This window comes from Homo sapiens, chromosome 19 (assembly GCF_000001405.40).
Source record: "Homo sapiens chromosome 19, GRCh38.p14 Primary Assembly".
Lineage (NCBI taxonomy): Eukaryota > Metazoa > Chordata > Mammalia > Primates > Hominidae > Homo > Homo sapiens.
Window position 1 is genome coordinate 48,435,811 of NC_000019.10, and position 10,163 is coordinate 48,445,973.

The 10,163-nt window shown below is 55.3% G+C and overlaps 1 protein-coding gene across 2 annotated transcripts in view, besides 2 other annotated features; it reads left to right on the forward strand.

The window, feature by feature from the left end:
* Positions 1–9,121, forward strand: part of GRIN2D (glutamate ionotropic receptor NMDA type subunit 2D) — a 51,264-nt gene extending 42,143 nt beyond the window's left edge. For both annotated transcript variants that reach the window (NM_000836.4, XM_011526872.2), the window contains 3 exons: positions 5,959–6,146; positions 6,340–6,572; positions 6,790–9,121. In NM_000836.4, the coding sequence (NP_000827.2) occupies positions 5,959–6,146; positions 6,340–6,572; positions 6,790–8,127 (1,759 nt within the window). In that variant the 3' untranslated portion in view covers positions 8,128–9,121. The remainder of the gene's footprint in view (positions 1–5,958; positions 6,147–6,339; positions 6,573–6,789) is intronic.
* Positions 8,060–8,751: an enhancer, noted in NCBI's record as "H3K4me1 hESC enhancer chr19:48947127-48947818 (GRCh37/hg19 assembly coordinates)". NCBI's record gives its function as "activates a minimal SCP1, AML or CMV promoter by ChIP-STARR-seq in naive H9 embryonic stem cells {active_cell/tissue: H9 hESC(naive)}" and the evidence as "EXISTENCE:reporter gene assay evidence [ECO:0000049][PMID:30033119]".
* Positions 9,924–10,003: an enhancer, noted in NCBI's record as "active region_14895". NCBI's record gives its function as "activates an Ori minimal core promoter by ATAC-STARR-seq in GM12878 lymphoblastoid cells {active_cell/tissue: GM12878}" and the evidence as "EXISTENCE:reporter gene assay evidence [ECO:0000049][PMID:35858748]".

A 10,163-nucleotide genomic window follows, 5' to 3' on the forward strand; every position in this document is an offset into this window, starting at 1 on the left:
GTGGTGAATCAGACGGGCAAAGTCCCTGCCTCATGGAACTTAAATTCCAGTGAAGGGAGACGTGCAATGCACGGAATAAATGAGAATATTCTATAGTGCATTCCAAGGGGATACGCGCTATGGGTAAAAATAGGGCAGGGTGAATGCATTTGGAAAACTGGGGCGGGAGACTGGAGGTTGCAGTATCAAATAGGGTGCTCAGGAAGGTGTCTTTGGAGCAAACACCTGACGGAGGTTGTAACTGCCCAGTGGGTTCACGTTGCCCGCTGCCTAGACAGAGCCGATTTATCAAGACGGGGGGTCTGCAATGGAAAAAGAGTCATTCACGCAGAGCCGGCTGTGTGGGAGACCGGAGTTTTATTATCACTCACATCAGTCTGCCTGAGCATTTGGGAACCAGAGTTTTTAAAGATAATTTGGCGGGTAGGGGCTTGGGAAGCGGGGAGTGCTGATTGGTCAGGTTGGAGTTGGACTCACAGGCGGTCGAAGTGAGGTTTTCTTGCTGTTTTCTGTTCCTGGGTGGGATGGCAGAACTGGCTGAGCCAGATTACCAGTCTGGGTGGCGTCAGCTGATCCATAGAGTGTAGGGTCTGTAGAATATCTCAAGCACTCATCTTAGGTTTTACAGTAATGATGTCATCCCCAGGAGCAATCGGGGGAGCCAGAGGCTGCATGGCCCCTAACCTTAATTTCTAATCTTGCAGCTAATTTGTTAGTCCTGCAAAGGTAGACTAGTCCCCAGGCAAGAAGGGGGTCTTTTTAGGAAAGGGCTAGTATCGATTTTGTTTCAGAGTCAAACCATGAACAGAATTCCTTCCCAAAGTTGGTTTGGCCTATGCCCAGGAATAAGCAAGGACAACTTAAGGGTTAGAAGCAAGATGGAGTCAGTCAGGCAAAGGCACTTTCAAGGTGAGAGAGTGAGTCAGGCAGCTGTCTAGGAGAAGAATGTTCCAGCAGGCAGAACAGCCAGTGCAAAGGCCCTGGGGCAGGAGCGAGCTGGAGAGGTCCAGGTGCATCTCCCAGGCCAGAGTGAGGGGGGGCTTGGGAGATGAGGGCAGATGGGTAAGGAGGGATGGGGTGTCAGGTGGCACAGGGCCTCTAAACTCGAGGTGATCCAAGTCACTCTGAGTGACGAGGGGAGCCAAGAGGGGGTGGTGAGCTGAAAAGGGACAGCGCTGACTCAAATGTTAAGATCCCTCTGGTGACAGAGTGGGAACAAACAAGAAAGAAAGGACGGATGCAGGGAATTTTAATTTTTCCCCAACCTACACCCAAACAAAGGCTGTAGGAAATGGCTGAGGTCTTTTTGTTTTGTTTTGTTTTGTTTTCGAGACAGGGTCTCCCTCTGTAACCCAGGCTGGAGTACATGGCACAATCATAGCTCACTGCAACCTCATCCTCCTACCCTCAAGCGATCCTCCCACCTCAGCCTCCCAAGTAGCTGAGATGACAGGCATGCACCACCAAACCCGGCTAATTTTTAAAGTTTTTGTAGAGACAGGTCTCCCTTTGTTGCCCAAGCTGGTCTCGAACTCCTGGACCCAAGCAGTCCTCCTGCCTCAGCCTCCCAAAGTGCTGGGATGACAGGCATGAGCCAGGGCCCCTGGAATGGCTGAGTTTTAATAGATATTTAGGGACCATGAAGGGGTGGTGGATGCGAGAGGGGAGGGAGACAGTATATCCCAGAAAAACTGAGCAAACCATTGAAAGTGAATGCTGTTAGAGCTCCTCTTTCTGAAATCTCTCAAATATTTCCACCACTGGAAGCCTTGACTTTTAGCTTTCTCCAAAATGTAACTTGAGTCTCTCCTTCCACTCCCGCTTGTCCTCTGAGGACCCCTGGAGACACTCCTCCCATCTTATCCCAGTCCCAGCCCTTCTATCCCTAACTCTAGAAACTCCACATTCTTCCCACTTAAACATCAATAGCACTTCACCTTTCACCCCCAAGGGCATCTTCCTAAACAAAGAGAAACGTAGGGAAAAATTACAGTTTGCCTACAAGGCAGAAGTGCCTGCAGGCAGTGGTGGTATTTTTCTCGCCTATACTTATATTCCAGATGTCATATGGGAACTCCCTGTTAGGATCTATATAAAATTAATTCAAACCCCATTCTCCAACGGTGGGATGATGAATGTCCTCCCCACGTTTCTGCTAATTCTCCGGAGCTTCACATTCTCCACCCCTGAGTCTTTGCTTCAGCTAGAGACATTCAATTTGGGGGATCCACTTCCTGTCTGTTTCCCCACTTAGCATGTATGGACTAATTCAGTCCTTTTCTCTAATTTCCACGCAAACAACCACACACACACGGCATTTATATGTGAGCCTGTGAGTGCGTGGACAGGGTTTTTCTGAAGGTTTGGGGACATAGGAGGACTTAAATCAACAGACAGGCTAACTACTCAAGACTAGAGGTTAAGTATTCTTCTCTGGAAGATCCTTTGGCTTCTCTTCAACTCAGCATCCAGCCGCCTTTTTTTTTTTTTTTTTTTTTTTTTTTTTGAGACGGAGTCTTGCTCTGTCGCCCAGGCTGGAGTGTAGTGGTGCGATCTCGGCTCACTGCAACCTCTGCCTCCCGAGTTCAAACGATTCTCTTGCCTCAGCCTCCTGAGTAACTGGGACTACAGATGCCTGCCACCACGTCTGGCTAATTTTTTGTATTTTTAGTAGAGACAGGGTTTCACCGTGTTAGCCAGGATGGTCTCGATCTCCTGACCTCGTGATCCGCCTGCCTCGGCCTCCCAAAGTGCTGGGATTACAGGCATTAGCCACCGTGCCCGGCCTAATTTTTGTATTTTTAATAGAGACGGGGTTTCGCCATGTTGGCCAGGCTGGTATCGAACTCCTGACCTCATGTGATCCGCCCGCCTCAGCCTCCCAAAGCGCTGGGATTACAGGCGTGAGTCACTGCGCCCGGCCAATATGAACTCATATTCTATATAGGATTCTGGGAGTAATTTTTGTGTTCATTTGTTTTGTTTTTAGAGACAGGGTATCCCTCTGTCACCCAGGCTGGGGTGCAATGGTGTCATCATAGCTCACTGCAGCTTCAAACTCCTGGGCTGAAGGGATCCTCCTGCCTCAGCCTCCTGAGTAGCTGGGAATATAGGTGCATCACCACACCTGGCTAATTTTTTTTTTTTTTTATAGAGGCAGGGTATCACTATGTGGCCCAGGCTGGTCTCAAACTCCTGGGCTCAGGCGATCCTCCTGCCTTGGCCTCCCAAAGTGTTGGGATTACAGGCATGAGCCATCATGCCCAGCCTAACTTTTTAAAAAATACACCCCATAAGGTCAGGTGTGAAAGCTCATGCCTGTAATCCCAGCATTTTGGGAGGCTGAGGCAGGAGGATTGCTTCAGCCCAGGAGTTTGAGACCAGCCTGGGAAACAGAGTGAGACCCCATCTCTAAAAACAAACAAACAAACAAATAAATAAATAAATATTTAAAAAATATATAAAATACACCCCATACATCCTTACCTGTCAGAGCATAAGCATTTATCTCATACCACAGAAGAGTTACACAGTATTCCTCTGTGTGGATTCATTTATTCATTCATTCATTTATTCTGCAAATATCTATCAACCCCGTCCTACATGCCAGGAACTATGCCCCAGCCACAGATGAGAATAAGACCAACTGGGACCCTGGGGGTCTTGCAGTCTCATGGGGAAGGTTGAGATTAATCAAACAACCACAGAAATAAATGTAAAATGACAGCAGTTGTAAATGAGAGTGATAGCAGCATGTGCCATAACAAATGCATCCATGAGAACTAACTCCACAGCCCTGCCCTTCTTCCCACCAAGTCTTAGAAATCAGGGCCTAGGCTGGGCACGGTGGCTCATGCCTATAATCCCAGCACCTTGGGAGAAACCCACTTTGGGAAGCCAAGGTGGGACGATAACCTGAGGTTGGGAGTTTGAGACCAGCCTGACCAACATGGAGAAACCCCATCTCCACTAAAAGTACAGAATTAGCCAGGCGTGGTGGCACATGCCTGTAATCCCAGCTACTCCGGAGGCTGAGACAGGAGAATCGTTTGATCCGGGGAGGCGGAGGTTGTGGTGAGCCCAGATCGCACCATTGCACTCCAGCCTGGGCAGGGCCTAGGCCAAGTGTGGTGGCTCACGCCTGTAATCCCAGCATTTTGGGAGGCTGAGTTGGGTGGATCAACTGAGGTCAGGAGTTCAAGACCAGCCTGGCCAACATGGTGAAACCCCATCTCTACTAAAAATACAAAATTAGCCGTGTGTGGTGGTGCATGCCTATAATCCCAGCTACTTGGGTGGCTGAGGCAGGAGAATCCCTTGAACCTGGGAGGTGGAGGTTGCAGTGAGCTGAGATCACGCCTCTGCACTCCAGCCTGGGGGACAAGAGTGAAACTCGGTCTCAAGAAAAAAAAAATAAATAAATAAATAAATCAGGGCCTAGTGGGAGAACCCAAGCAAGTTATGTGTCTGGGTCTGTGTTTTCCCATCTGAAAAGAATGGTTATCTCCCTACAGGCTCACACCTGTAGTCCCAGTACTTTGGGTGGCCAAGGCGGGAAGATCACTTGAGCCCAGGAGTTAGAGCCCAGCCTGGGCAACATGGAAAAACCCTGTCTCTACAAAAAATACAAAAATTAGCCAGATGTGGTGATGTGTGCCTTTAGTCCCAGCTACTGAGGAGGCTGAGGCAGGAGGTTCGGTTGAACCGAAGAGGTCAAGGCTGCAGTGAGCTATGATGGTGCCACTGCATTCCAGCTTGGGCAACATAGTGAGACCTCGTCTCAGGAAAACAAAAAAAAAGTGTCCTTAGACTAGATAGAACAATGCTTGGCACAATATAACTGATCATTCACTTGCATTATTTTTTTCCCTCAATCTTCCTCTTTATTTGTTTTGAGATGGCATCTCTCTCTGTCACCCAGGCTGGAGTGCAGTGGCTCGATTTTGGCTCACAGCAACCTCTGCCTCCCAGGTTCAAGCAATTCTCCTGCCTCAACCTCCTGAGTAGCTGGGATTACAGGTGCCTGCCACCACACCTGGCTAATTTTTGTATTTTCAGTAGAGATGGGGTTTCACCATGTTGGCCAGACTGGTCTGGAACTCCTGAGCTGACAGGTGATCCACCTGCCTTGGCTTCCCAAAGTGCTGGGATTACAGCCATGAGCTACCATGGCCAGTCTCAATCCTCTTTTTTAAAATGCAAGAGTAAATGGACTCTTTGGAGGGCTATGGTGAGGAGTAAAGGAATAACTATTTCATTAACAGTCACAGCTGGCCAGGTGCGGTTGCTCACGCCTGTAATCTCAGCACTTTGGGAGGCTGAGACAGGTGGACCACAAGGACAGGGGTTCGAGATCAGCCTGGCCAACATGGTGGAACCCCGTCTCTACTAAAAATGCAAAAATTAGCTGGGCGTGGTAGTGGGCACCTATAATCCCAGCTACTTGGGAGGCTGAGGCAGGAGAATCGCTTGAACCCAGGAGTCGGATCTTGCAGTGAGCCGAGACTGTGCCACTGCACTCCAGCCTGGGTGACAGAGTGAGACTCTGTCTCAAAAAAAAAAAAAAAAAAAAAAAGAAAGAAAAAGTCACAGTTAACACTTCTCCAGCACCTCCTTTGCATGAGGTACTATCTAAGCTTTCCCTATAGTCCCTGCTACTGGGGAGGCTGAGATAGGAGGATCGCTTGAGCCCAGGATTTCTGGTCCAGCCTGGACAACATAGCAAGACCCTGTCTCTTAAACAACATACTTTTGCAACAACTCTGAAGGGAGATACTGCTGCCATGCCCATTTTACTGATGTTGAAACTGAGGCACTGAGAAGTGCAATGATTTGCTCAAGAGCTCAGGGCCAGTTAGGATTTGGAGCAGTTGGAGGTTACAGGTGAGGAGGTTCCAGGCCTGGCGGCCAGGGCATCTAGGTGGGACTGACCCTACCCTCCATTCCCCCTCCCCCCAGGAAGCTGGACGCCTTCATCTACGATGCTGCAGTGCTCAATTACATGGCCCGCAAGGACGAGGGCTGCAAGCTTGTCACCATCGGCTCCGGCAAGGTCTTCGCCACGACAGGCTATGGCATCGCCCTGCACAAGGGCTCCCGCTGGAAGCGGCCCATCGACCTGGCGTTGCTGCAGTTCCTGGGGGATGGTGCGGCTGCACACAGGGATTTCCACAGCGGAGAGGGGGAGGGCGAGGCCCCTGGGTTCCGGGGAAGAAAGGGACAAAGACCCGGACACCAGGGTCTGAGGGAGGAAGGGGCTAAGGGCCTACATTCCCACATCACAGACAAGGGTCCTCAGAGGGTACTCATAGCAGGTGACTTTTGACCGCCCCTCCCTAGATGAGATCGAGATGCTGGAGCGGCTGTGGCTCTCTGGGATCTGCCACAATGACAAAATCGAGGTGATGAGCAGCAAGCTGGACATCGACAACATGGCGGGCGTCTTCTACATGCTCCTGGTGGCCATGGGCCTGTCCCTGCTGGTCTTCGCCTGGGAGCACCTGGTGTACTGGCGCCTGCGGCACTGCCTGGGGCCCACCCACCGCATGGACTTCCTGCTGGCCTTCTCCAGGGTATGGGGCAGAGAGGGAGGCAGAGAGGGGGAGATGGCAGGGGCGGGGACAAAGGTAAAGCCGAGCAGAGACAAGGAGATGTGGGTCGAGATGTGGATAGTGGGGAAGAGAGCGGGAAACACAGGCGGGTAAATGGAGAGGAGAGAGGGACTGAGGGGAGGCGGGCAGGCGTCCTGGGCATCTCGCGCTGACCCCCGTCCTGTCCCCGGACCCGCAGGGCATGTACAGCTGCTGCAGCGCTGAGGCCGCCCCACCGCCCGCCAAGCCCCCGCCGCCGCCACAGCCCCTGCCCAGCCCCGCGTACCCCGCGCCGCGGCCGGCTCCCGGGCCCGCACCTTTCGTGCCCCGCGAGCGCGCCTCAGTGGACCGCTGGCGCCGGACCAAGGGCGCGGGGCCGCCGGGGGGCGCGGGCCTGGCCGACGGCTTCCACCGCTACTACGGCCCCATCGAGCCGCAGGGCCTAGGCCTCGGCCTGGGCGAAGCGCGCGCGGCACCGCGGGGCGCAGCCGGGCGCCCGCTGTCCCCGCCGGCCGCTCAGCCCCCGCAGAAGCCGCCGCCCTCCTATTTCGCCATCGTACGCGACAAGGAGCCAGCCGAGCCCCCCGCCGGCGCCTTCCCCGGCTTCCCGTCGCCGCCCGCGCCCCCCGCCGCCGCGGCCACCGCCGTCGGGCCGCCACTCTGCCGCTTGGCCTTCGAGGACGAGAGCCCGCCGGCGCCCGCGCGGTGGCCGCGCTCGGACCCCGAGAGCCAACCCCTGCTGGGGCCAGGCGCGGGCGGCGCGGGGGGCACGGGGGGCGCAGGCGGAGGAGCCCCGGCCGCTCCGCCCCCGTGCCGCGCCGCGCCGCCCCCGTGCCCTTACCTCGATCTCGAGCCGTCGCCGTCGGACTCGGAGGACTCGGAGAGCCTGGGCGGCGCGTCGCTGGGCGGCCTGGAGCCCTGGTGGTTCGCCGACTTCCCTTACCCGTATGCCGAGCGCCTCGGGCCGCCGCCCGGCCGCTACTGGTCGGTCGACAAGCTCGGGGGCTGGCGCGCCGGGAGCTGGGACTACCTGCCCCCGCGCAGCGGTCCGGCCGCCTGGCACTGTCGGCACTGCGCCAGCCTGGAGCTGCTGCCGCCGCCGCGCCATCTCAGCTGCTCGCACGATGGCCTGGACGGCGGCTGGTGGGCGCCACCGCCTCCACCCTGGGCCGCCGGGCCCCTGCCCCGACGCCGGGCCCGCTGCGGGTGCCCGCGGTCGCACCCGCACCGCCCGCGGGCCTCGCACCGCACGCCCGCCGCCGCCGCGCCCCACCACCACAGGCACCGGCGCGCCGCTGGGGGCTGGGACCTCCCGCCGCCCGCGCCCACCTCGCGCTCGCTCGAGGACCTCAGCTCGTGCCCTCGCGCCGCCCCTGCGCGCAGGCTTACCGGGCCCTCCCGCCACGCTCGCAGGTGTCCGCACGCCGCGCACTGGGGGCCGCCGCTGCCCACAGCTTCCCACCGGAGACACCGGGGCGGGGACCTGGGCACCCGCAGGGGCTCGGCGCACTTCTCTAGCCTCGAGTCCGAGGTATGACGCGGCCCCGGGGGCCCCACCGCCCCCTTGGTCAGCGCAGGCCACGGCCCGAGGGGGCGCCCGCAGTGGACAGGACCCGCGTGGGTTGGGAAGGAAAGCAGTGGAACTGGCCGGACCCCGCCTGGAGCAGCGTCCTGCGCCCCCTGGTTCTGGAGGAACCGCAAGCCGGAGAGGATTTGGTCCCTCAACTATCACCCAGCCTGAGAACGAGGGGGCGGGGGCCTTGGAGCCCACCGGACTTTTTTTTAAACCCGACAAGGGCTTTTTAACGTCACCAGATGGGGCGGGAGGTGGGGGGTTCACGCCACTCCCGCGTCCCACCTCCACGCCCGGGGCCGTGGCCCCCACATCACTGTGCAGCTCCCCGGCCCCAGCCGCGCCTCCGGGGAAGCCCGTTTTTAACCTTTCATCCATTGGGACTCAAAACTGTGAGACGCGTTCGCCAAACTGTGACCCCAGACCTTGGCCCCGCCACACAGAAACCCCTGACCCAGACTGTGACATCCGACTCCTAAAATGGTCATCCGACTCCAGACTGTGACCCCTGACCCCAAACTGTGACCCGAACCCCAGACTGTGCCCCGACCAGACTGTGACCCTTGACATCAAACCGTGACACCCCCTCCTCCTCTTCCACCCTCGGTCGCTTTTCCCTACTCTGACCTAGGACACGTCCCCAACGGAAGCCCCGCCTTCCCTTGCACCGCGATGAACCCAACCTCCCTGAAGCCAAAACTTCCCACCCTGCCGCACCTCCGGACCACCCCACTTGCCACCAAGCACATCCTCTCCAAATCCAACCCTTATTTGCGACCCTTCAGTGATGACCCAGCAGACCTCCAAAAAGCCTCCTCTGCCCAGATCTCCAGCCGGGTCTGGGGCTGGGTTGCGGAGGGGAGGGTCTGGGAGTCCACACTTCTCCACCAACTTCCCTTCCCACTCTCTTATTCCACATTGCAGTGTTTGGAATAAACCATGTTTTTATGCCTCCTCAGTCCAAGCCTAAGCTCCGTATCTGTTAGCCCCCCTCAAATTCTCTGGAGGAAACAGAAACACAAAAGTCCCACAGGGGAAGAGGAGACAGAATTAGAGAGAGAACAGAGACTCTGAAAGGAGGTGCCTGGGGAGACAAAGACCAAGAAAGAGGAGGTGGGAAGAGACCCTGAAAAGAAAGTCGAGAGGGTACTGGGGCAGATAAGAGACCCCAAGAGAGTGGTGAGATAGATCCCGGAGACAAAACATATTAAGATCAAAGGTATGGTTTTATTTCCTATGGCTATAGGTACCAAGGCTTGCTACATTCTCAATATCCTGTTCATGCAAGCTAGGAGAGTGTCTGACATATCCCAGCCAATCCGCATTATCTTGAATGCTGTTAATCTCACCAATGAGAATCTATTTCTAACATTTCATTATGTCAATTAGCCAAACCGCTGGTGCTGATGGGCGATAAAGAGAGACGAAGCACTTGTAATAGCTGCCTCCAGAGGGTGGACTTTCTGATTAAGTGCTCGCTGACCAGAGCTGAAATGTGAATGTCTGGTTAGGCAATTGACTGCCCCTAGAGGGTAGATTGAACCGCCTAACTTACAGATAATATCCATCCTGTCTACAAGAAAGCATTTTTGAAACAAATGAAAGCCATCACAACAGAGAGAGGAAAAGAAACCGGCCTTATGGGTCCTCGGGGAGTAGAAACTCAGTCTCCTTGCCAGTGAAAGAGCAAATTTGCATATATGAATAATTAATTAACTGGAAAGAACGCTCTCGGAATCAAACTGGACAATGGGGAAAACAAGCCTCCCGTAGAACTACAACTCCCAGAAGGCCTTGCCACTACCGCGAGGAACAGCGCCCAAAGTCACGCGAAGATGCAGTTTCTCCGTATCCGCAGGCTTCTTTCGCTGGCGCCATTACCTGAGTTCTCCTCCAGCGTTTCCGCACCCTCTCCGATTAGCGGTCCCAGGAGTTTCCAAGGTAACCGCGCAGTAGGGCGGATCTCATTAGGCGGAAAGCGAAACCCGGAAGTGACGCTC